Source organism: Homo sapiens, chromosome 14 (genome assembly GCF_000001405.40).
Source record: "Homo sapiens chromosome 14, GRCh38.p14 Primary Assembly".
Classification (NCBI taxonomy): domain Eukaryota; kingdom Metazoa; phylum Chordata; class Mammalia; order Primates; family Hominidae; genus Homo; species Homo sapiens.
The window spans coordinates 33,777,309-33,804,659 of NC_000014.9; the positions used below are offsets into that span (position 1 = coordinate 33,777,309).

At 42.6% G+C, this 27,351-nt stretch overlaps 1 protein-coding gene across 19 annotated transcripts in view; it reads left to right on the forward strand.

Moving 5' to 3' along the window:
- Positions 1-26,865, forward strand: part of NPAS3 (neuronal PAS domain protein 3) — an 869,389-nt gene extending 842,524 nt beyond the window's left edge. For 14 of the 19 annotated variants that reach the window (XM_017021582.2, XM_047431678.1, XM_005267991.4 and 11 more), the window contains 4 exons: positions 1,158-1,264; positions 16,589-16,736; positions 20,149-20,273; positions 22,426-26,865. In XM_017021582.2, coding sequence (XP_016877071.1) covers positions 1,158-1,264; positions 16,589-16,736; positions 20,149-20,273; positions 22,426-23,801 — 1,756 coding nt within the window. In that variant the 3' untranslated portion in view covers positions 23,802-26,865. The remainder of the gene's footprint in view (positions 1-1,157; positions 1,265-16,588; positions 16,737-20,148; positions 20,274-22,425) is intronic. The other 5 variants (XM_017021583.2, XM_011537069.3, XM_011537071.3 and 2 more) reach the window with 1 other exon arrangement.

Here is a 27,351-nt window from a genome sequence, read left to right on the forward strand (position 1 = left end):
TATTTCCCCAGTTAATCTTATCTTACCTAAAATCCTAGTTTGGCCAAAAATATTATTTGAATTGCTAGACACTGAGAAATTCACTCGATGGGTAATATATTTTAATTATGTTTCTTTTTTTGTTTGTTTTTCTTTCTTATTTCCCTGCCTTGGGGGCCAGAAAACTCTCCAACAATGATCACATGTGTTTCTTAAATGTGTCATTTCTAAAGATTTACTTCATATTTCAATAGACCATATGCCGTAAGTCATAAAAAAAAAAAACACATGAAGAGTAAAGAGAATAAATTAAACAAAAAATATATTCCACTTTGGACTGACCAAAAGGAATCTGCACTTGGTAATACAGAGGGTAACAAGCATTTTGACATGTTTGTGTAAACCAGGCGGATTCCCCCAACACGGTTTCCAATTTGGGCTCTATTTTTCCATGCTCTGCCTGAGGACATCGACGTCTGGACAGTCAGTGACAGAGGCTTTTACACACACGTACTGTCGAGCACAAGCCTGGAAGAGCTGCTGAAATGGTTTAAAAGTTTTTGTGTGGAATCCACCACAAAGTACCAGTTAAAAGGGCCAGGAGTGAAAGCCGAGCTCCCAAATGACTAAGACTAAAAAAGATAATACCCCCAGGCATCTGTATGTCTCAGCATTTAAATTATATCCCTTGAAATGCCAATTTGGACTTTGTGCCAAGAAGCTGCTGAAGCCCTTTTTCATGGAAATACCCAATAGAAGACCAATCTGTTTAAATGAAAGGTGTCTCTAATCATTTGGTATAAACATAACATGTTTTTATTTTATTATGTAACCTTGAATTATCTTGGCCTGTAATGAGGATCTTGCATTGTTACTGATTCTCAATAATTTCATGAAATTATGTTGTCTAAATGTGCATTCTTAATGCCAAAGAAAGAGAAAAACCTATCTAATTGTTGAAACACAATCGCTTGATCTAACGCATTTCCTACTTTTGAAAAAAGACTGTTACGTGTTAAAGAAATAATCTTATGTATAAAGGGTTTCCCTCACAGTGCCACCTCCTCACGGGTACAGTAGTATAATGAAATGTGTCAGTAGAACTGTTTCTAAGTTATTTGACAGTTTCTTTATATTTCCTCCTTTCTGAATTCCAGCCTGTGTTCTTCTCTTTGTAGGATTAGTGATTATATGGATCTGACCCCTGTAGATATCGTAGGGAAGAGATGCTACCACTTCATCCATGCTGAAGACGTGGAGGGCATCAGGCACAGTCACTTGGACTGTAAGTACCTCCTGTGTGGGGGAATAACCCCGGCTGGTGTCAGCAATCTCTGAGGCTTGTTTGGTTTCAGTGCTGATTTTTCCCTTCATCTTTCCTGTGTACATTTCAGATGACTGTCAGTGTGCAGTGAGAAAAAGTGAGACATAAATCATTTCAACGCGTGTTAGAATTAGATTGAAAGTTGGACCTCAGGCCTAGAGAAATTGCTGGATCTTTAGGCACTCACCCAGAATTCTGTGGTGTCTTTTGCTGTCTCTCCTATAAAGTGGTGGGGAAACCTTTGTCTTAAGTGCTACCTTGACCCTTTCATTTTCTGGAGAACAACTTCCACTCTGAAATTTGTGGTCTCAGTTTCAAAGTACACATGGGAGAAGACAAGTTCAAATAAGCCAGAGCCTTATAAAAATGCCTATTTGACCAGCCACAAAACTGGGGTGAGGGGAAGCCAGGGAGATGGGGCAGAGCACGTTCTTTAGAGAAAATGTTGTGTGGACACAGCAGCTCTCGAAGACAGTGCTTTCGCTGTTTCTGGAAAGAGAGTTATTCAGAAGAGTAGGTATCTCCATCCCCCAACTCCTGGGGAACAGAAACTTATCTCAGCTCTTTGAATATGGCTCCCAGCCCCTGAGCCACAGGCTGAACTCCAAAAGACCTTCTGTGCATGTGAGCAAAGCAGGAGCATCAGTGGTGTGGCTGGCTCCAGCAACACACCAGCAGAACCATGCAGGACCCCGCATCCAACCGCCCTGGCTGTTCGCACTGTCCATGGAAGGGGTCTGACTAGAGCACTGATCTGGTGGCCCTCTTCTGACCAGAGGTCCTTTATATGACCATTCAGGAGATTCTTCCTGAAGATGAGTCTCCCCTACCCCCTATCCATGTCCCTGGAAGCTTCTAACCCCAGTTCAGACCTCTGAATTTAAATACAGTCACATGCCACTTAGCCATGTTTTGGTCAACTACCTACCACATATATGATGGTGGTCCCATGAGATTGTAATACTGCATTTTTACTGTACCTTTTCTGTGTTTAGATATACAAATACTTACCACTGTGTTACAGTTGCCTACCAGTATTCAGTAGAGTAACATGCTGTACAGCTTTTGGTCTAGGAGCATTAGCCTATACCATATAGCCCAAGTGTGTAGTAGGCTACACCATCTAGGTTTATGTAAGTGCACTCTGTGGTATCCACACAATGATGAAATACCCTAGTGATGCATTTCTTAGAATGTATCCCCATCATTAAACAACACACGGCTGTACATGCAAGGTGCCACAAATGAGATGGTACAGCCTAAAGTTGAAGCATTTATACAGAAAAAGCCAGCCAAGTGGCCTTTGTATTTACCTCCTCTCCCCTTTCTTATCTTGGTCAAAGAGAGCTATTTCTTATCTTTCCTGCCCTTTGCAATTATTTCTTCATTTCGAACTCAGAAACATGGAGATGTTGAGCTAGCCAGCACCTCAAAGTATGAACATCCTGTACTGTGTTTTTAACCCTGCGTTAGCAACACTGACATGGAACCAAGTTCAGTGTCAGAATCTGTATATACCACGTCTCTGGAAAGAGCCTGCCTGCAAGACAGCAGATTCTACTCCCAACACGGAGTGTGTGTGTCTTGATATTGCACACCAGGGATTTAGGGAACACACTTGTTGCTGAGAATGAATGGGTGTTGTGTATCGTAGAAGCAGATGGCTCTTCAATTAATTGGGGAAAAAAATGATGTGGTTTCCTGAAAAGAAACATCAGGTTCTTTGTTGCTCAGAGTTTAGAGAAAATGGAGAAAAAAATCAGGATCTTTGGAAGAAGCCATGGATATATTTTTGGAATAATACAGGCTAGAGATCCAGACTTCACAAATGAATATATTGTTTTGAGGACACTGTCATAGACCATGTGTGCAGAGGGAGATGCCTTCTCATTTTGGAATCTTAATTAAGGTCTAAATTCAGAAACCTGAGGCTGACAAAAAAAAAAGAACTTTGTCTTCCTCAGTTATTATTTGGAAAACATCATGCATCATGCTATCTCTCTGGGATTTGATTTACAGCTTGAAGAAACACAATTCCTCAGGAACAGTGAGCGAGGGCAGTTCATTTCTCCCCATTAAGCAAAGGTCTCCAACAAATATGTTTGATGCCTTTCTTTCCGATTTACTTTTATCTCATTTTCCGTACCCAGAATAATTTGAGAGTGCTGAAAATAAACCACTCCACCATTCACTATTGTGCTATTCTCCTAATTTTTCTGGTATCTTGCCAACTAATAAACAGAGAAGGTATGCTTTCAAATTCTGATTTTTTTCATTACTTGATATTGACATACCGGCTATTGCTTTATGATTCAGCCTACTAACAATGATTGGGTTCATTCTTTTAACTCATACACATGACTTCTAATTTTGAGTTCTTTTAATAACCTTAAACACATGAAAAACAAATAGAATGAGCTGATAATTCTGCATAGTAAAATACACTTCACATATTTAGCTATCATGCTGTGGAATAACTCCACAATGTCAAGTAGCACACAATTAGTAAAACTGTAGGGGGAGGAAAAAGAGTGTTTTGATCCTGAAGAAGTTTGATCCTAATCAGATTGAAATTTCAGCGTTCTTGTAGTGCTTAATATCTTCAATCACACACACAAAAAAATCAAACTGATTCCAGTGTCAGGTTTTGCATTCTGTGACTGAAATAAAATGCTAAAATATACAAATGCATCTCGCTTTGTACAATAAACATTAACATCATTATAAAGTAAGATTGAGTCTAAAATTGTGTGATGGAATGTCTGATGTTTACCTAATTCTCAAACCAAAGCCAGCCCAGTAACAAAATGACAGACCATGTAATAAGTCTTGGTTGTGTAAACACTGGAAGAAAAGGCAAAAAGCCAGCACAGCATCTTGCTTTTCCAAAGCCCTAGGCTATTACTGAAGGATGCCTCAACTGTGCCTTCTTGGCAGGAGAAGGTCATGGCGACATAGAATCAGGTCAAGAATAAGATAGAATTCTAAAACAAAGGGATGGTTAAAAAATAAACCACATTAACTATTTAGTTTTTCTTCCTAGAGCTATTGGCACAATTCCTGGTTCTGTCCTGAAAGATAGGTTGTAGTCATCTGGTAATATTTCTGATTTTTTAATATCTGTCTTATGCCCCAGTTTGATAAAGCGTTTTTTTAAAAGACTTAATAGTCTTTGATAACTAAAAATACTATCTTTATCACTTATATCTTTTTTCCTTGCCTAGGCATCTGTAAATCCATAAATGAACTTGTCTCTAGAATAAGAAAAGTAAAGAGGAATATCAGCTGTGCCAGGATTACAACTCTGATAAATTGAACCAAGAACTTTAGAGCATCTACTCTTCCACTAAGTTAACATGAGATGACTGATAGTTCACTGGATTTCAACAGAAAGAATCAGTAAGAATCACATTATTGACGCCAACATGGTATGTTAGTGAAACTACACTGGAACTCTAAAGCCTAGGGAGTTCTAGGGCCCCTTCTTTCACACTGTGACCAAAGACGTCTGTGATTTCTTTCATTTAAAACCAATTTCACCAATTATTCAGGTCAAATCAACATTTAAAGGTTAGAATTTTAAACCATTCACATTAGTAATTATTGGGGCATCTTCACCTCTTCCTCCCTCCAGTTCTCCATTGCTCAGGAGGTACTGGCTTGGGAGATGATCACTCACAGCTTCCCACAGTTACACACTCCAGTTACTTATGGTGTCTGTGTGGCTCTTCAATTATGAGACGTTTCAGTGCAACCATCTACCACTCTACTTCTGCCTGTAGCCCCCCAAAAATGGAGTGCTAAACCAAACAGAGATGCATGCTTTGCACTGCTCTTTATTCCCATTTAATCCAGCCCTTTGTCTAGAGAAGGAGCTGAATTTGTCTCGAGATATCCCTAGGGTTCTTTGTGGGTCCAATCAGCAACAACTTTCTAAAACCTTAAAGAGTGGCCTAGGGGAAAACTTCCTTTCTCTTTATGATGTTCTGCTCCACCAGGGAGGCTCAAGGCTCTGGAGCTGTGGGATTTCAGAGAAAAGGAGCCAGAGACTGTAGGTGTGGTGGCAGTTTTTTCCTTCCTAGCACCTGACCCAGTCTCAGAAAACTCTGGAAGAGTTATTTCAGAAAGACAGAAGGACTTCAGATTGCCTTTGAGATCACATGCAGTTAAAAAGCATGGCCTATCCAACATACTTGGGGGTTGTTTTTTTTTAAAAAAAAGAAAAAAACAGTAGCTTAAGTGTTTATTTCTTAATTACAAACTTCTATACTTTCTAACAAAACTAATATACAGCTACCTGATATAATGCATTCCATGCTGTTTTGCATCAATAACCCCTACACTTCCCTCCTGAAGGCGTCTCATCGCCAAATGCAAGCAGACTGCTTAATGCGGGACTAATTAGTATATCCCCTTCCAGTCTGCAGGCCCTCCATTGTAATTCCTTCCCAGCTCATTTTTTTCCACAACCGAGCATCAATCAAAGTAAGTGCCCTGCCTGCCTAGGCAACACAAGATGTCCTCCATGCATTTGTCATCTGCCACACAAACAAAGGGGGAATTTAATTGTTGGTTTGGGTATGCAGCCACTGCACACAGAAACGGAAGCTGCAAGTGAAGGAAAGAGAAAAGGTGGAAAGTTTGATGGGTGGGCCAAATGCAGATAGCACGGGGGACTTTTTTCTGTTTTCTGATCTCAGCCTTTCTTCAGGGGTGGGTCTTCAGGGATTTAGCTGCAACCTGGTCATTGGCTGGACTCTTCCCAGAGCAAGTAAGTGTTCCCCTTCTGCCATATGAATATGAAAATTCCCATGAAAGGAAATGCATGTAATAGCTACCATGTCTGACTTTCTTCAGAAGCCAAGTCAGCCTTCATCGTGTGCCTGGCCATTAACCGAAAAAACCGTCACAAGGAGGCAAGATAAAGGCAGGTTTTTATGCAGGGATGAATTTGTATTATTTTGTCTTAGTTTTTTGGGGGGGTGGTGTGGGGGGGCGGGTACCGGCAGGGAGACAGTGCTTGTTTTGGCTTTTCAAGTCCATGGGCAGGCAAGCACGGAGTCAGAGACCAGCAAGAGGGTTGAGCTCCAGCGGCGCATCCCTGCTGCGCTTACTACACTGTGCATCAGTGGGGCAGTGGTGTCAGCACCCCCTGGGAACTCAGAGACGCACATTTTAAGGCCTTCCCCAATCAGAATCTGCAGTTAGCAAGATCCCCAGCTGACTCGTATTCATGTGAAAGCTTGAAAAGTACAGACCATACTAGTCTTTAGACGGCACTATTTTACACGACGTAAACAGTAAATACAAACTGAGTATCTGAAGGGTTTTCTTTTCCTCTCAAATTGGATGAATTCTGAGAACAGTAGCAAAAGGTGAGTAGTGAAATAACTCTCAGGGTACTCGATCAGTATTCCAATGAAACAAGAATAGGATTAAGAAGCTGACTTCTTTACAAAGATATAAAGTTTTAAATATCAACAGGAAAAATTTAACAGAGTATACATAGTACTAATATCCAACCTAGTAAGCAAAAGATCTTACCGTTTTTTTCCCTTGGGCGAATACTTTCCTGTGTACTTGACTGTATGAGTGAATATGAGCAGTCGTTTTTTTCCTATTCAAGTTTATCTAACATTTGTGAGCACTTACTAATGCAAAGCCTGTGTCATTGCTGTGAGGTTTCAAAAGCAACTAAGGTATGGTGTCCACCTTCGAGGAGCTTACATACTAATAGAGAAGGCAGCATGAAACAGCCAATTCTGAATAGCTAGTATGAAATGAGGTCTGTTAAGATGTGCAGACAAAACACAGAAACCCCAGAGGTGAAAGCAACTAAGGGGAGGATGGAGAAAAAGCCCCAGGGGAGGCAGATTTTCCCTGGACTTTGAAAGAGGATGGCAAGAGAGATGGAGGAGTGGTCTAAGGCATTGCAGGCTTAGAAGAGCATAGGAGAGACATAGAACACAAACACATGATCTTTTCTGTCTCCCCAGAGAGCAAGCCAGAACTTTGATTTGACTGACAAATTCTAATAAAATTCTCACATGGATTCGCAAGCTTCTCATTATTATTTCAATTAGTAGCTGCTTTTATTTTTTATTGTTATTTTTATTTATTTATTTATTTATTTATTTTTTTTTTTTTTTTTTTTTTGAGACAGAGTTTCACTCTTGTTGCCCAGGCTGGAGTACAATGGCACGATCTCGGCTCACCACAACCTCCGCCTCCCGAGTTCAAGCAATTCTCCTGCCTCAGCCTCCCGAGTAGCTGGGATTACAGGCATGCGCCACCACGCCCGGCTAATTTTGTATTTTTAGTAGGGACGGAGTTTCTCCATGTTGGTCAGGCTGGTCTCGAGCTCCCAACCTCAGGTGATCCACCTACCTGGGCCTCCCAACGGGCTGGGATTACAGGCATGAGCCACTGCGCCCAGCCTAGTAGCTGCTTTTATAGTTTTTTTAAAACCTTGTATTCAACAAAAAATAACCCATTGCTCTTATAAGGCACGATCAGAAGAAGAAAACAAAATCAATACTTCTGGCCGGGCATGGTGGCTCATGCTTGTAATCCCAGCACTTTGGGAGGCCAAGGCGGGTGGATCACAAGGTCAGGAGTTCGAGACCAGCCTGGCCAACACAGTGAAACCCCATCTCTACTAAAAAATACAAAAATTAGCTGGGCATGGTGGCAGGTGCCTGTAATCCCAGCTACTCAGGAGGCTGAGACAGGAGAATGGTGTGAACCCGGGAGGTGGAGCTTGCAGTGAGCCAAGATCATGCCACTGCACTCCAGCCTGGGTGACAGAGTGAGACTCCATCTCAAAAAAAAAAAAAAAAAAAAATCAATACTTCTGAGTCATCCATTTTCACCTAAATCAGTTAACCTAAATAAAATCAATTCCATTACTTCTTATAATGGCATCGTGTTCTCAATCTTATACAAACTATTTTTTAAATTGTTTCCTGAAAACATTCAATGATACCTCACATATCTCAAAAAACATCAAACTTTTTTTAACTTAAATGAGTGGCATAGGATTTAATTCATGTATGTGTCTAACATGCAACAGTTTTCCCATACATGCAGGGTTAACTAAAGATCAGGTCATTCAAATCTCTTCATGAACTCCCACATCTTCTCTGGCTTCCTAGAACTTTTGGTGGGGCATATCGACTAGAATGCACCTGGTTACAAGTAACAGAAAATCCCAGTAAAAATGACTTAACTTTCTCTTCATGATCAAAAGACTTGATCAAAAGATCAAGATAGCATCCCCATCATCAGTTCCTCATAGGGCAATGTCCAAAGTGCGGAAGGGGTCAGTCGATGTTTTGTGTTCATTTTGGAGCTCACAGAAAACATTTCCAGAAGCACTTCCCCACCACCCCACAGCAGGGAGAAGCCTCTTGTGTCTCATAGTCCCGTGTGTCGAGTGACCAAGCCTAAGCCACTCACTGGCAAGCGGGTAGAATTACTGTATCTGGCTTAAACAATCGAGGTTTATTCTCCTGGGATTTAGGAGGAGGCCATCAAACATAAAACCCAAAATCAGACTTTTGTTATCCAGAAGGAAGTGGCAGAATAGCTGTTGAGCAGACGACCAACAATGACTGCTACATGGAAGAATCTATGTTTTCACAATAAAGTACTTGGATTTCTAAAAATCTACATAACAGATGAACAAATGGAATTTGTCTGGGATCCTGGAAATGTTTCTGACTTTCTGAAACACTAGTTTTTACATACCTGTGCCTCACTACTCATGTATTTCTTTTTAAAGATGTTTGTTTAGTGGAGTTAACAAAATGATTGCCTCCAGAAGCACAGGGTCCACCAGAGACAAAATAAATCTGAGTATAAGGTCCACATCATCCCTTTTGTCTGTTTTCACTTCTGCCTATGCCCTAATCAGATTAACTGCTTCAGTACTTGATAACACTTAATTGTTAAAGGGAGGTGAAGAATGCACCCAGCCCAAGTCAGACGCCCTTTGCGCTTTCATAGACCTACATACCACCTGCCATACAGTTGTCACTGTTGTAAACTTATTAGTGAAAATGACTGATAAGCATCTCTTTCTCATTCAAAGGCAAGTAGAGGTAAATCCCTCTTTCCAGAGTGAATAAACTTTTTCAACAACCTCTCACAGTAGAGACTTCCACTTGAGTTTCATTGCCCAGTGTCTCATCATATTCCAAACCTAAAACAATCCCTGACTAGGGGAATGCAATTATCAAGACTGATGGAGACTAACGTAGGACAGGCCTGTGACACATTTTGCACACTCTGATATCCCCCAGTGACTAGCACAGAGTAGGCACTCAAAAAAAATGGATTGAATGAATAAATCCACCATTGTCCTCAGTTCCTAGCCTTAATTTTTTTAATTCCATGTTGAGGAGTTCACCGCTTCTCATTTATATAACAAATTCCCCCCCCAAAAGAGAAGGTATAGGTCCTAAAAAAAATACTCTATCCTTAACTATTTTGGGTTGAGAAGGGAATGAATGAGTGGGACTGAAACTCCCTGGTCAGACTGAAAACAGCTCGTAAAATACTGTGATCTCAGATGTCCCTCATGCCAACAATTATTTTGATTCTCCTTGTCCTAGAACACTAACAGTGTTTAAAAGCCTTGTTCTCCAATTCAGTACATTATCATGAAGAAAAGGGGAATTTATTTTTTAAGCTTAACAAATTGACGCATTCTAAATCAATGAAAAGTTTTCTGCATGATTCAATATTAACAGTCAATAAAAATCTATCAATTGGCAGTGTATAGGAAAAAACCTCCCCTGAGGTTGTAAATCACACAGATAGCAATTCAAGCAGGGCCTGTCATTAGCGTATTAGGGGGGAAAATCCATCGATGATGCATACTCATTCACAAAACATCTACAGGTCTTCTGTCCTTAAGCTCATAACTCACAGTAAGTATCAAATATCCTTCAATTCTACCAAATATTGCTCAGCATATAGATTTACAAAAAAAAAAAAAAAAACCTAAAAACCAATTTCTGGATGCCTGCTATTTAAGACATCTAGCTCACTAATTGCAAAATCTATAGAAAAGTCTGCACAGCATCAAAGCCTCGGTTGATCCTATGAGCAGTTCTAAATGAAAAACTGTCTCTTTTGCGAGTAAATAAAGCACTTAATGCAGTTTCTGGCTATAATTGTGTTTCTCCTGTGGGTTTTGAAAATGACCTTCCTGTAAGCCTCAAGGACTGTAACTTTTTAGATAAGGAAACTTGTTCTTGTTTTAAGTCTATGTCAGGTTCATTCCCCTATAGCCCAGTTTTCAAAAGCCAAAGAAAAAGTAATCCAGAATTAAAAAGAAAAAAAAGGAAAGAAAGAAAAAGGAAGAAAGAAAGTCCTGTTTCCAGAATGAAGTTCCCTGTCAGCCTGCCTTGGGCCTTAGGTGGAGAAGCAGAGATTAAAGAGTCAGTATTCTTTTTCATGTTTCATCTGCCAGTTTTGTGAATGTAGAAAGGGAACCGGTGGCTACAGCTAAGCACCCAACTGTGGTATTAAGTAGAAAGTGTGATTCTAGCACACCCCCCTCACTTACACACACAGATACACACTCTAGTGAATTCAAAAATAATTTTTGAGTCTGTAGCAGAAGGCACCTGCTCTCCGTTCTCCGCGGCCACTGACGAAGGTACCTCCAGGAGGGGGTGAATGGCGCCACAGATGCGTCCTCCTATCGCCATGACGATAATGAAGCTCTTTGTTCGGCTGTGTGAATGTGAAGGGTGGAATCTCCGATGATCTCACCATTTCCTATTTATTCTATACTTACCTGAATGCACCATGTCTTGCAGCTTTTTAATGCATATGCAAACCACTAAAATGTCCTTTTGTGAGACACTTTGCTAAAAGACCGCTTTTGATATGTGTTCTTCATCTCCTCTTCAAACTGAATTAGACTGCTTCCTTCTTCTTATGACACAACTAACTCACTATTTAGAATCTTTGGCTTTGATTTTGTAGAACAGCCCAACAGGAAGAGACCACGTTCTCTTTTTTTCTCCATATTTCTGAAGGCAAACTTGTACTGATTTGTTTTGATTTACTACCAGAATTATGTTCCTGCCACAGACACTGGCTTCCTTTATGTCCTTTCAGTCGTCAGTCTGTGTCTGTGGACAAAGTTTTCCCAAGGAAAACTGAAATCCCTCTGTTGGTAACTGTGTGCAGGGCCACGGATGTGTACCTCAGGAAAAAGTTCATCAGATTTGCAGGGAGAAGAATTATTCTAAGCAGTACATTTCTTATAGGCCAACCACTAAGCTCAAACCAAGAGACCAGGTGACATTTTAAAAAGATATTCAATAAAACTTAGCATCCAGTCTTGGTGGGGGTGGGGGGCGGGCAGGGGAAACCTGTGTTTGATGTAAAAGGTCACATGTTCTGAAATGTAAGCACTCCACAATTTTCTTTTGATTGAACTGTATTTGCAGCTTCCTTCACAGTTAGAGGTACGTGGTATTAATATTTTGACTTCAACAGCCAAAGACACACTTACTCATGGTATTGTAATTGTTAGCTAAGCAAAGCTGAAACAGTTCAACCAGGAGGATTTAAATCTCTCCCAGTTCATCTCTATAGTATTCTTCTCACAAGTGGAAGGTCACCTCTGTCCTCTGAAGAGCACAGCTTATAACTCTAAAGCTCCTATAACTTGGAGGGTGGGATGGTGCCAACAAGAGCCTCCTGGTTTTCCTTCGAGCAACAACAGCCAAAAGCAACTGGTTACACCCTGGGCTTCAGAGGAGCAAGGAACATGTTCTTGTGTGCTAGCAGAGATGTTCCCAGTTACGTCTGGGACCTTTCAAGATTCTAAGCTAACCTATGCAAGTGTATTTATCCTCTCTATGTCTTCAGGTTTACTTTGTCAAATCTAAGAAGAGGTCATTTAAAAGTTTTGGGATCCTCAAACTAAAAGTAATTACTAGAGTACAACTTTTTTTTTTTTTTTTTTTTTTTGAGACGGAGTCTCGCTCTGTCGCCCAGGCTGGAGTGCAGTGGCGGGATCTCGGCTCACTGCAAGCTCCGCCTCCCGGGTTCACGCCATTCTCCTGCCTCAGCCTCCCAAGTAGCTGGGACTACAGGCGCCCGCCACCACGCCCGGCTAATTTTTTGTATTTTTTAGTAGAGACAGGGTTTCACCGTTTTAGCCGGGATGGTCTCGATCTCCTGACCTCGTGATCCGCCCGCCTCGGCCTCCCAAAGTGCTGGGATTACAGGCGTGAGCCACCGCGCCCGGCCTAGAGTACAACTTTAAAGACATAATTCTAGAGATGCTTTGACACGATCAGTGAATTCAGCGAGAGACACACAGGTTGCTCAGCCCAAAAATTTTGGAGAGTAGAAAGTAAACTTTGGAATAAACCAAAGAAAAGATGCCAGGTTACATGTTAGAGGTACCTAGACCATATGACAAGGATGTGATATTCAAATTAGAATCTCTCCTTCTAGTTCCTCTCCCTCTGTTCCTTTCCCTTTGTAGTTTGTAGACATGGTTATGACTTTACTCCTAAGCTCATTGTGTGATGAGTATCTATCTCTTTTCAAGGGACAATTAACTCTTTTTAAGGACTTTCATATCAAGTAACTCACGTGGTGCTTATTTTTGTTATTCCCGCAAAAGGAATTTTATGAAATAAACTTATTCAAATATTCTCTCCTTTCTCACTGCTTAAACCTAAAACTTGAAAATAAAAAACAACAGCCACTGGATTGAAGAGAATCAAAAAAGTTTTTTCTGTGTTTTTCAAGTTCTCTAATTTATTACACACTAAAAATCCTTTCAAACTGGCACCAAGGTGGCTTTTCTTCTTGAGCTGATTAGGACCACATGAGTTCAGGAAAAGCTGTCAGATCCTGCCTCTGGCGCAGCTGGAATGATCCAACTGATTTGCCAGTATGACTTTTTTTTTTTTTTTCCAAGGAAAGAAGCTTCATCCCAAAGTCATAAATTTACATTCTGGAGGCCCAAGCAAAAGGTATTTCTTTTTCATTTTTTAAAGAAGCTAAATTCCATTATGATTTCTTTTTTCTTTTTTTGAGCCAGAGTCTCGCTTTGTCACCCAGGCTGGAGTTCAGTGGTGCAATCTCAGCTCACCGCAACCTCCGCCTCCCAGGCTCAAGCGATTTTTGTGCCTCAGCCTCCCTCACAGCTGGGATTACAAGTGCACACCACCACACCTGGCTCATTTTTGGATTTTTAGTAGAGGCAGCGTCTCACCATGTTGGCCAGGCTAGTCTCGAACTCCTGGCCTCAAGTGATCCATCCACCTTGGCCTCCCAAACATTATGATTTCTTTTACAAGATCTGTTGCAAACCAAAAGCAACTTGGGTGATTTTTTGGTAAACATGTTGTCCCAACTCTGCACCGTATCTGTAGTTATCTAGATTCCCACTGGCGCTTGGGGGTCTCATTCAGAAAACACCAATCCCTAGGAGAGACCAAGTGAGATTGCCTACCCTTTAGGAATTCTGCCTGTCAGACTGGCCCAGGGTAAAACCACAGGTCAGTCAAACTCGTCCTCTTCAGCCGCCCACGGTGGGCTCCCGAACCTGCTTTGTGGTATTCACCACAGGAAGTCAAGGGCTATCACGTGGCTCCCCGACTCCCCAAGGAAGCCGTGAGCCATTCCCTTCCCCTTCAGTCTTTTTACAGATACCTCCTCACATCAGAAGTCACCTGTCCTGCCCCTCTCATATTTAGCTCTCCTCTCTTGCTAGCTGACCCTTGGCCTGGGTGATAAAGAAAGCTGTATTATTATATTCATGGGCCCTAACAAACGAGTGCTGGATTTATCTTCTCAGGAAACACAGATCCATTTAGGTAGACCCAGAGTCATCCTACTGTAATTCAAAAAGATGACACCATACGGTCCCTTAGCAAAGAAGCCTTTCAGCCCCCTTCGCTACACATACGTGCAGACCACTGGGGAGGCCAAACGTTTGGCTGGATGTCTATTTCCAAATTGGGATTTTATTAAGAGAAAGTATTATCAGGAAGGAGGGGGTGATCTTTACATTGATTCTGCAGATTCTAATTTGATATTATAACTCCTTTATCCCTTTGCCCCTTTTGTATACTTTGTAAAGTGGAGATAATTCTTTTTAAAATTTTGCCTGCTTTTGGTCAAATTCTAGTCTAGAACTCCCAGGCAGGCTGTGCTGATCTGGCCTGCCATCTCAATGTATTCTTCATGTGATTCTAAAAAGGGGCTTCTTAGTCTCTTTGCCTTTGTTAAACATACTAGAACCATTTGGAATTATTCCTCATTCCAGACACAAAGCAGACAGAATTATACCCCCAACCACTGATTGGGGTGCTGTAAGTTTTCTCTGTGAAAATAGTGGACAGAATTATATAACCCATCGTTCCTCTGTTAATAGTTAACCAGGTTGAGAGGATTTGAATAAAAGCACATCTTGTTGCATGCAACAATGGTTTGACAGAAGAGCTGTATGGCAGAGTTAGTATTTTACTGCTTTCAGCTTCACCACGCAGTTTTGTAGCCTGGGAAGCCATGCATGCAGAATGGCAGAACTTACAATTGCCTACAAAAGGAGAGTACAATGCAACCTGTGGAGCCACGCCACCAAGAGAAGGTGACAGTTCCGGGCCTTCAAAACACCCTAAACTGGTGAGGAGTTTCAGAATGAAACTTGTTATGATTTGAAACACTCATCAAAGTGAGGCTTTTTCAAGTAACAGTTAAGACATAATTACCAAATTTTACAACGGTCCCGTTAGTGTGCTGTGAGAAAAAAAAGGAGAATGGAAGAAAACCTTCCAAGTTTATATGTTTATGGATGTAATAGATGGATGTGGCACTTTCAGAGCCAGGAAGAGTGGCTCAGGACAAGATGAGAAGAGCTTCCACAGCCTTAAACACAGCCCTTTTCCAAAGTGACTTCCCTTCACACCCATCCACCCCCCTCCAAAAAAAAAAAAAAAAAAAATCTAAATGTACTTCATGAAACTGTTGTATATGAAGCACTTATTAGCCGTAATTAAATGGACAATATGAATTTACTACGTCTTTAGGACTCTGGCTTGTTCTGGTTTAGAGCAAGATGATTAATGCAAATACATATTACTTGAGATAACCATTTAGCAGCTAATTTAGCCAAATTTATTACAGCAGTTAGAGGTTTTTCATTTCAGCAGACGGAGGCAAGGACATGCCAAAAGTGGGCGACGTAGATGAGTGCACACTGCCCTCTAGTGGCCAGCCAGCCGGTGAGCTTTCGCGGGGCGCCGAGTTGCTGCGATCCGCAGCCAAGTAATAACAGCAGGTTTTCCACATTTCCGGCACCCTTTTAAACCATTCCCATCCACAGCACTTTATTTCAGGGGATGATTTACTGTGCTTTCCCCTTTTACTAGCTCAGGAGTACCCAGATACAAATCAAATCAATTTCAACTTGGCGAGATTTTGGTTCAAGTATCATTTTTAACATCTGCATTTTAAAGCTCTCTTTCAGTGGGTATTTAATGGCACCGTTTCACATTACTGATTGTTTTTACTTGCTCCTTCATTTGGGGCCATATTTCAGAGTCTGTGTGGAGCTGTCACTCTGTTTGGCTCCAGCCAAGTCAATTCTGTGCCTCCCTTAGGCCAGTGTTTCTCTCTGACTCCACTGGGGAATTTATTTTGTTCCAACATTCAGCGAAGTCTCACCAGAATCTCCCCCGACTGACCAGTGTAAATTTAGTTCATCGGAGGACTATAAATTCTGTTAGACAAGATCAAAAGGAACAGACATATAAGGACGCGGGTTGAGATTGCTCACACGGAGGAGAAACGATCAAAGACGAGGGGTAAAGCATCTTTGGAACCATTCAAATATCCAGAATCTCAAAGAGGTCTACCTCCAAGCTATGAATAAATCACATACAAATTTGCCTTTCTTACCATCTGATGTCAAATCCATTGACAATATCCACACCGCATTAGGTGTTCTGTGAGCCAAAGAGATTTGTAGTCCTTTTATTCTTTTCACACCATGGCTGCCCAAAACGGAATAAAGTCTTGCTACAAATGCCAGTAACCCTGGCTCCAGAGCTGCCGCTCCACTGAATTGATTTCATTTGTCCTACTAATGGCATTCTATATTAAGCATACAGAGGGTCACCCTGGCTTGGTGTAGGTCCTCCCATTTTTAGGCTTAAGGTTTTGCAGAGATAAAAAAAAAAAAAAAGTTATTTGATCCCAGTCTTAATACAATGCCTCTGTTTTGTTTTTTTTCGCCAGTGCTGAATAAGGGTCAGTGTGTGACAAAGTACTATCGCTGGATGCAGAAGAACGGAGGATATATTTGGATACAGTCCAGTGCCACCATAGCTATTAATGCCAAGAATGCAAATGAAAAGAATATCATCTGGGTGAATTACCTTCTTAGGTATATTTTCTACTTCTTTTCTATTTCTGTCCTGGTTATAAAATATGCCATATAAAATATGGCTATGGTTAATAGCCGACATGTTGTGAATATTATCTTTTGACAGTACCTGGTGTGGAATTTCATGGCAATTCTGCTGTTCTTTCCACAAGATTCAAATAAATGTGAGAAGATCAAACTATGTTGGAAGGGACTTGCAGGAAAGATTTCAAGATTTTCAATCATTCTTGGTCTGTCAACATTTGGGCATCTCTGCAGAAGTTGCTTTGGTTTTCCCACAAATGCTTAGGCCAGAATAATACAGACTTCAGCCTACAGCTGAAGCATTCAAAAAGCATCTCCTCTTCCCCAGCACACACACACTCACACACTCCAGTTCTTGTGGAAATGAAGTAAAACAGAGCGGGAGAAAAGTGGCAGGGAACATTATATTCCTCTTATATTTCTTCCCTTTGATGCCCTTAGCATATTACATAGGGTTTGACTTCCTGGGCATTAAAGTTTCGGTAAACAAAGTGAGTTGCTTTGCCGGAATCAAACAATAGCGGTGTAAAAAATGAAGGCAATTTTTTTTTTTTTTTGGCCCACTGCTTTGTGATCTTTGGCAAGCTTTACTGCTCTTAAAATGTGTCCTTAACAGTCTATCTGCAAGTGAGCCCAAGCTCAACTGCTTCCTAAATTCTGGTGTGAGACACCATTTCTCTCCCCTTCCCAGTCTACATTCTGCCTTTGGATTCAAACTAGCAGAAAAGTAACCAAGACCCACAGATTGGGCCATCTTGAGTTTGGGGGCAGGCTTTCTGGGAAGTTCTCCACCAATCCTGCACTTGGCCTGGCTCCCTCCCACCCCCATCATTCTGGTCTTTGGCTTCTCCTGGCCTAAAGCCACCAAGCAGAGCCCACACGTGGTCTGAGTAGGAAAATTTCCAATAGGTCTTGGGAATGGAAGTTGGTGCCCTTTGGCTGATAATTTAGACAGGGAGTACCTGAATCCCATTTTTCTTTGAGACAGCCAAGTGGAGCTGGGAAGCTAACAACCATGGCTCATCAGCACACTGGCCCTTCAGAGTGTGTTCACATACTTTGGTGATGACTTGAAGGCATGAATGTGCTTGCTACCAACAGCATATCAATCAGACACTAATGATTATTGCTCTAGAGAGGGCCTTAATGTGCACCACTTAAAAGAGTCTTCATTTATCTACTTTCTATTTCCTTTTTTTTGACCTCTTCTGCTCTACATTAATTCTCTCTAAAGGTAAAAGTATGTGTATTGAGTGTGGCTTTCTCCAAGGCCTGATTTCCGTGCAAAGTCTCCCCCGTGTTTGTGATGTGTTCAAGATGAGTTCTGATATCAAGGAATCCTTGTACATAGAGTTTTATGGAATAATTACTATAGGGAATGCAGGTGGTTATAAAAACTCACATGCCAGACAGAAAATGGAATAAGGTCTTGTGGCACTGACATTCTTTTGCTAGGCAAAATGATATTGTGACAAGGAGACCCATCACCAGTAAGAATTAAACGCTGGAAACAGGCACCCTAGGGCTAGCAGTGTCTGGCTCCCATGTTGATGAAACATAGATACTGAAGTCATCTATGTAGTTGTTACTCCCATTCTCTGAGATTTCTTCCTATCTGGATCTTTCTTACTGCCTCATCAGCCTCATGACTTCCTCCTCTGCCCACAAATGCAAGGAGTAAGAAGAGCTAAGCAATCAGTCTCTGAATACCATTGATCTAGCCTAGGATCCGATGGTACAAACTCATGAGCTTTGGTGATTCTATTCCATCAAATCCCATATGGATAGGAAGGAAGTTTAGGTATCAAAGACCAGTCTTCAACCTCAAAAGCTTCAATCTCAGGCATAGAAGACCTGTTTTAGCTGACCTAAAAACACTCCCTGAAGTCAATGATAAAGGACTGTAAATTGTAGGGCAAGTGATCTGTGAGCCCCCAAAGAAGACTAAGGTAGATGGGCTTTAGCAGGGGAAACTCCACCAAGACAGCCATTTACTGGTATCACCTCTATAGGGTAAAGATCTAGTAAGAAAATGATGTGGCCCTGGCAATATAGCAACTACAGAAGTTTGGTTTTCTTTCCCACATTCTTGTCTATTATTCTTCCCTGAGCAATACTTTCACATCACTTCTTCCTGCCCAGAACCCTTGCACCCAGGCCCCAATCCAGGCTTGTCCTTCCCTGTTCTGAAACTACTGCTCCTCCAGTCTTCTTCCCATTCCCTCGTGATACTTAACAGAATTATAGACTCAGAGTATTCAGAGACAGAGTCCACCTTCCCACCATTAGTCTCATCTGATTATCTAGAGAAAGCTTTGCTGCTGAAGCTAATTCACACGAAGGAGTAAATGCCTGATAATCCATTTTAGTGAATTACCCCTCCCAGGAACATTTGCAGTTTTAGAGTAGTTACTGAAACAGTGACTCTTTACTATAGGAATTTCGCTAGAGATTAGCAAATGAGTCAGTAATCATCAATTTTAAGTCTCTGCTTGGCTAGCCATCATGGAAAAATCGAAGAGGCATTTCCCATTTTGAAGCAGGAGGATTTCCTTGTGCCTTCAGATTACAGGAGCCTACTCTCCTCATCCATCAGGTGGCCTTGGAGTGGCATTTCCAGAAGACAGGTCAAACTGACTCAACATGCTCTCTCTTCCAAAAGAGCCTTGTTTCCAAACTAAAAATAGAACAAAAATTAAGCACATTTGTGCAAGTGAGGTTAGATCCCTTCTGTTAGGGCCTCTTTCACACTGGGACTCTCCCCACTGCAATCAGATTTCCAGCTAACAAGCCACAGGTGTACACCACACGAGCAGATGAAAATGTGATTGTAATGGGTGTGTTGACAGTTTGGTAGCCATAATCCATGCATCCCAAGGTGCACCTGTGCATCTGTCAGATAGGCACCAAAGGCTCTGCTGCCCCACCAATAGCGTGGGAGCCATCTGAGCGGCTGAGAAGCTACATCAAGGGCCCAAAACAAAGGTACTGAGGCCATGGACTCATTAGGAGCCCAAGAGAAGACACGACACACCAGGAGACATGGGAATGAATTGTTGAGAGTACTTCTCATCCTCCCTTCCCCCAGGTGTACTGTCAAGCAGCACAGTTTCCTGACCCCCAGTGGTACCTGATTATTTAAAAGCTTCTCTCCATGGCTTTCAGGGATTTGGGTATTCGATCATTGCAGCAGGGTGCACCTGTGCCTTGGCACATGCAAGCCAAGCTTCCATAAAATCCCATGAAGAGCTGAGAAATGATTTCATGTTTAGTCTTTGAAACTTTCTAAACTCCAGAAGTCTGGGACAAAGAAGTGGGGGAGAAGATGGTCCAAACAAACCATGCAGAATGGGTGTCTGCACTCCTGACCAGTGCCTCCCTTCCACAGCAATCCTGAGTACAAGGACACACCCATGGACATCGCACAGCTCCCCCATCTGCCGGAGAAAACTTCCGAATCCTCGGAGACATCCGACTCTGAGTCAGACTCTAAAGACACCTCAGGTATTACAGGTATTATTCCTTCTTTTCCATGTTCTTCAGTGAAGCTTGCCCACCACGCGCAGGGGGTGGGCAACAGCCAGAGGGCCATCATCAGAGGCAAAGCAACTGGTCACATTTCAGAGAGACATATGTCACATCAAGTTATTACTGAGTGTCTGCCTCTCTCCAGACACACATATATATAATTGTACACCACTACATACCTGTATGTACTATATAGGTATATATACACACAATACATATAGATATGTAGTGCTGGATAAATACATCTGTGTGTGTGTATATATATACATATATATATATATATGTTTTTGTGTGTATATATACTCACAGAACAAAGAGATCTTTTGAGATCTGACAGATCTCTTTCTTTAAATATACAGAAAGAGATTGATTGCTATTAGCAATCACTTAATGTCAATCCACTGGCCATACAGAAGGAGCCCTGCTCTAACCTCATAGCTAGCTCTCGGCCTCTACTAAAGGCAGGTACTAGGGCCAGCTCCAAGAGAGTCTGTGACTTTGAGCCCCAAATATTCACATTCCCACCAAGCTGGGACTGAGCCTCTAAAGTAGGGTACTTAATGGCATCGATCAATGCCTCTTTCAGGGTGCTGGACTGTTACTTATTTCCTGAATCTATGCAGAACAAACGCATGCATTTTCATTTCCTTTGGGGAAGCGGACTTCCTGAGTAGTTCTTTGGGACACTGAAAATTAGTATAAAAATTTGCTTTTCATCCCATCCCCAGCCCTCTTCCAGAGACACACATAAGGCCAGGGAGCACTAAACTTGTAGGATTTTTACAGCTGCAAGAAAATCCTACACCTCTTTTAACCCTACCTCTTCTGCTACAGAAGGGGAGGCAATGACCACAACTTCTAGTCCAGGCTGCCAGTCAGGCTTCTTCCCTCCATGTTCAGACGCTGTGTTACTGGAAAAATCTGTTCTTTCAAAAATGTGGCAGCTAGGTTTTCCTGACAACCCCCTTCTTGAGGGCACCTGTGCTCCAGCATTGTAAACATGTATCCCTTCCTCCAGACCCAGCTTCAGGGAGGCGGAAGGAGGGCAGAGCACTCAAGGCAGATCTTCATTGTCCTCCTCTCCCTAAATTGCATTAATTTGAAAGTTCTTGACAAAGACATAAAAAGTTCTAGAATTGGTAGTCTCTGCCCCTTTTTAATACAGTGCATAGTTGTGAACAAAACAAAGGAAAATTCCTAGCCCATTGAGCTTATATACTAGTGGGAAGAAGAGACAAGTAAATAAAACTAAAATATACAGTGAGGTGGCAGGGTGGCTCATGCCTGTAATCCCAGCACTTTGGGAGGCTGAGGTGGGCGCATTGCTTGAGTCCAGGAGTTTGAGAGCAGCCTGGGCAACGTGGCAAGACCCTGTCTCTACAAAAAAAAAAAAAAAAAATCAGCCACGTGTGGTGGTGGGCACCTCTGGTCTTAGCCACTCGGGAGGCTGAGGCAGAAGGATCGTTTGAGCCGGGGAGGGCAAGGTTGCAGTGAGCAGTGACCACCCTGCTGCACTCCAGCCTGAGGGACAGAGGGAGACCCTGCCAAAAATAATAATAATAAATAATAAAAATAAAGATATACAGTGAATCAGATGGTGGTAAGTGCTGTGGGGGAGAATAACTTATGGAATAGAAAGGAGAGTGGCTCTCAGTAATGAACAAATATTCACCAAGGGAAAATGCAGACTCTTTAGAAAGTCACCTTGCATGCCATCATTTTTCTGTGTCACACCTTAATCCAGGTTATTTAACCTGACTTCCTGAGTATCTTTGTGGGACTTCTTAAACTTGAATGTGCCTGAGAATCACCTGGGGGTCATATTCCAACGCAGAATCTGATTCAGTCTACCTGGGTGGGAGCAGAGAGTCTGCATTTGCAGCGGGTGTCCAGATGATTGCCAATGCTGCTGGCCCGCACTTTGAGTAACCATCCAGCTAACCCAGGCCCTCAGCAGAGAGAAAGCCCAGGTCTTAAGTCCTCTGAAGGTGATGGAGAAGCCCGTGATGAGGACGGACACTTGCCCTGCTCCCCGCCCCAGCCCCTGCAGGTGACAGGCTGGGTCGCCCCGCTAACCTGGTGTCTTCTCTCTCTTCTCTCTCCGCCCCCGCCACCGCCGGCCCCCCGCCCCACACAGAGGACAACGAGAACTCCAAGTCCGACGAGAAGGGGAACCAGTCCGAGAACAGCGAAGACCCGGAGCCCGACCGGAAGAAGTCGGGCAACGCGTGTGACAACGACATGAACTGCAACGACGACGGCCACAGCTCCAGTAACCCGGACAGCCGCGACAGCGACGACAGCTTCGAGCACTCGGACTTTGAGAACCCCAAGGCGGGCGAGGACGGCTTCGGTGCTCTGGGCGCGATGCAGATCAAGGTGGAGCGCTACGTGGAGAGCGAGTCGGACCTGCGGCTGCAGAACTGCGAGTCACTCACGTCCGACAGCGCCAAGGACTCGGACAGCGCAGGCGAGGCGGGCGCGCAGGCCTCCAGCAAGCACCAGAAGCGCAAGAAAAGGCGGAAACGGCAAAAGGGCGGCAGCGCCAGCCGCCGGCGCCTGTCCAGCGCGTCGAGCCCAGGCGGCCTGGACGCGGGCCTGGTGGAGCCCCCGCGGCTGCTGTCCTCCCCCAACAGTGCCTCGGTGCTCAAGATCAAGACGGAGATCTCAGAACCCATCAATTTCGACAATGACAGCAGCATCTGGAACTACCCGCCCAACCGGGAGATCTCCAGGAACGAGTCCCCCTACAGCATGACCAAGCCCCCCAGCTCTGAGCACTTCCCGTCCCCGCAGGGCGGCGGCGGTGGGGGTGGCGGTGGCGGGGGGCTGCACGTGGCCATTCCCGACTCGGTCCTCACCCCGCCCGGCGCCGACGGCGCGGCCGCCCGCAAGACTCAGTTCGGCGCCTCGGCCACCGCGGCCCTGGCCCCCGTCGCCTCCGACCCGCTGTCACCCCCGCTCTCGGCGTCCCCGCGGGACAAGCACCCCGGGAACGGCGGCGGGGGCGGGGGCGGGGGCGGCGGCGCGGGGGGCGGCGGCCCCAGCGCGTCCAACTCCTTGCTGTACACTGGGGACCTGGAGGCGCTGCAGAGGTTGCAGGCGGGCAACGTCGTGCTCCCGCTGGTGCACAGGGTGACCGGGACCCTGGCCGCCACCAGCACGGCCGCGCAGAGGGTCTACACCACGGGCACCATCCGCTACGCGCCCGCCGAGGTGACCCTGGCCATGCAGAGCAACCTGCTGCCCAACGCGCACGCTGTTAACTTCGTGGACGTTAACAGCCCCGGCTTTGGCCTCGACCCCAAGACGCCCATGGAGATGCTCTACCACCACGTGCACCGGCTCAACATGTCAGGACCGTTCGGCGGCGCAGTGAGCGCAGCTAGCCTGACGCAGATGCCCGCCGGCAACGTGTTCACCACGGCCGAGGGACTCTTCTCCACGCTGCCCTTCCCCGTCTACAGCAACGGCATCCACGCGGCACAGACTCTGGAGCGCAAGGAGGACTGAGGCGCCGCCCGTCCTGGGCCCGGCCAGGCCCCGCTTGGAGGAGGCATCGTCGGCATTTTCGTTTAGACCTTTAATTCTAGCACTTTGAATTCGAGCAGGTCAGCGTCTTCTCTCGCCACGACGGTCCCCATTCCACCCCCTCTTTCTTTCACCTGACTTATTCTTTCGTGTAAAGATATGTTTATTTTTTGCCTTCAGAGGGTCAGACGACCAGTTGCCTGCCGTTTTGTCTTCTTCTAAGGTGTGTGTTGGGTTGTTTTGCTTTCCTTTGCATCTTTATTAAGATGTCTTTCATGTGTATATGCCTCTGCCATAGAATACTCAGTCTTGTGGTCAAGAGAGTTCTCAAGTGACAACCATTGGGGTTTCTTCATAAAGATCTTGATATGATCAAGATGGAAAGAGACAAGCATAAACAATGTGCCCTGTTTGACTAAGTCAAATGAAATAGGGTGGTTTTTGTTTCTGTTCCTAATTCCTTTAAAAAATAGGGGGAATAGTATTTTAGAATTTTATGCAGAATTTAATTCTCTTTTTACGGTTAAGATTTTAAGATTTTCTTACTTGCACATAAAAATAATTTGGGTTCTTAAACTTAATTTCTGGCCTGTGACTAGAATGTTTAAAAAAAAAAAAGTCGGACTAAATGTTAATTACTGAAACATTAACTTAATTTCTAAAACCATGGTGCTATCATTTATTAATCTGTAATGTCTTCATACAAAATGCAGCTCCTGGGCTGGGTTTTGGGGGAAAAAAAAAAAATGTGTTCTGTCCTGGTCTGGAGTCCGTTGCTGCAGTCTCCTTGGTTAGTTAAGACAAAGCCCTCATTAACGTTTGCTGCAGGACTTAAAATTTTTTACCTCCCAACTAACAAACATAGCCTCACATTAAATTTAATGGGTCAGTAAAGCCCCTTTTAAAGGGGCTGCTGGAAAACTCAATCAAACTGATTTGAGGAGCAGTTTAGGTACATACTGCCTTTTGTTTAGCTTTTTGTTTTCCTTACTCAGTCTAACTGAGGCTAATTTTGCAACTTCAATAACACTTCGGAGTAAAAGAAGGAAAATATTTAACATGTTTTTGGTTTTTTTCATTTCTTGCTTAAAACAAAAAGGAAGGTTGTATTTGGGGGGACTGGTTTGATTTGATGGAATTTCTTTCCCTTTGGTTCTTATTTCTGGGTTGAAACCAATAAGTTTTAAAACTAAAGAATGGGTTAATAAGCTTCAGACAGATAACTGCAACTGAAAACTGCACATTAAGTAAAAAAAAAAAAAAAGAAAAAAAAAAGAAAAAGAAAAAGAAAAAAAATCCTATTTTGTCTTTGTTGCCAGAAATCAGTGTGGTGTCAAACACTCCAAATGACTGTCAAGTATAAATTCTTCTTCCACTTCATTTTTGGCAGCTGTTTGTTAAGGCATCTAATAACAGATGTGAGAACTGTAATGTGTACAATGTGTATGTGTCCTTGGCTGTCAGTCCCATTGCAGTTTCAATGTGTGTTTCTATATGCAGTATATACTAAGCTAATGTAGTTGTTTTGTCCTTTGTCTTATCTGTGCTCTATCTCTAGTCCGGAGTGGTACAGTCCCATTCCTGCAGTCCTAGTGAATCAGTGATTCTTGGGGGTTAGTGGGTTTTGTGTGGTGGCCTTCCTCTGTAATGTCACCCTATGCTGCTTCTACTGTCTGTGAATCTTCCGTTTTACCTTTTAAAATTCCTGCTGTTGCTTTGCTGGTGTATATTCTCCCTACCTCTCCTCTCTTTCCCTCCCTTTCCCATCTCCCCCTCTCCCTCCTCTTCATTCCTTCCCCATCCCCAAAATCTCTTTCATTCTCAGAGATAAAAAGACTCTTAACTAGCTCAAGGTTAATGGAGCCATTTTTCCCACAACGGAATTCTGGGTATGACTCTGTCTTCTGGAGTGCAACACAAAGCACTGAAGAATAATGCTCAGATATATTAAATAAATTGATGCCATATAGCCTCAGTTGTTAACATTCCCAGAGTCCCTTGTGCTCTACCTATAAGCAGTGGGTGCTTTTCTTTGGTTTCCTTTCAGGTTGGCTGATGGAGCAATATATAAAGCAATTACCAGTGAGACAGAAAATTCTTTCAAAGGTCAACCAACATTTTTAAGAAACAAAATGGGAGGGGATAATGGAATCTAGAATTGTCATATATATTTGTTTACTTGTGCAATGCTAATATAGTAACTCGGCTGTCCTTTGAATATCACTGTGTTGAGTAGATTCCTCTAGGACCTTTGATTTCATGAGTTGGGCCCAAACCGTGGTGGAATAATAACAAAAAGAAGTTAAATGCCACAAATTTTAATAGTGAGCTTACTTGAAGGATTTAAGTAGGTTTAGGAGGTGAAGAAGGCCGATGGAGAAATTTACAGATTAATTTTGGAAGCTCTACTCTAGCTATCGAACAATCAAAGGAATGCACCTATCAGCTACAAAGAACAGCTAGACAGCTGTTTTTTTTCTTTTATAAATGTTTCTGTGTTGTGTCAAAATGATTTCTGGTGATTTAAACTAACAGATAATCACAGCTGCTGTCTAAATTCATAGTGTTGAAAATTACAAAATGAAAAAAAAAAAAAAAACACTTCATTACCTGTGAAGACTGTGTCTGTGTTTTTAACTATTTCTTGTACAAATATATGAAAACTTTTATGAGGAGACTGGTGCCAAGTAGCTGAATAATGGGGAAAGGGATATTCTGTTCGTAAAAATCTTAGCAGTGTTACCAACTCTACGATATATATATAAAAAAATAATTAAAACGTTACAAAGCGACAGCTATGGTACATTTGTTTTGTGTGAAGCTAACCGGACCTAACTTCCTGAGTGCCTGGCTTATTTTGAAACATTTTTTTTCATTGACCATTGATAATGCTGCAAATCAGAAATGTACATACTTCATTTACAACAGGGTTCTTTTTATACTTTTGTAGATTCTCATACATGTCACATACATGGTTGTCTTTATGTAACTTAATTTTTTCATCCGCAGGTGCCATTTTCATAATAAACTTCTCTTGGATTTGTTACTATCTGGCATCATTTCTTTTACATGTAACCATCCTGACTAATGAATGCTGGTAGTATTTGTTTAAGCAGGTACCTTGGTCATTATTCTTTATTTAAAAAAAAAAGAAAAAGTAAAAAAAATGCATTCATATTTTTGCTAGTTTTGGAAAAAATATATAGCTTGTGTACTGATGAGGCTGACAAGGCACATAATAAGATGCTAATCCAAATACTACACCAAACTTGCAACCATCCTAAATTTTCAGCTACCCCAATTCATTGTCATACTGAGCATTATTATGCACATTATCAAAGCTGAACAATGGGCCTGCAACATTAACCACTATGGGAAGTGTGTATTTTTTGATTAATGCACAGTAAGTGATGACAGTTTTCATACATTAATCATTTAAAATGCACTCAATATTTTCATTTATTACAATCTATAATGTATAACCAACTGTTCCATTGCTTATATCTTCTTTTTATACTAAATATGCATTTTC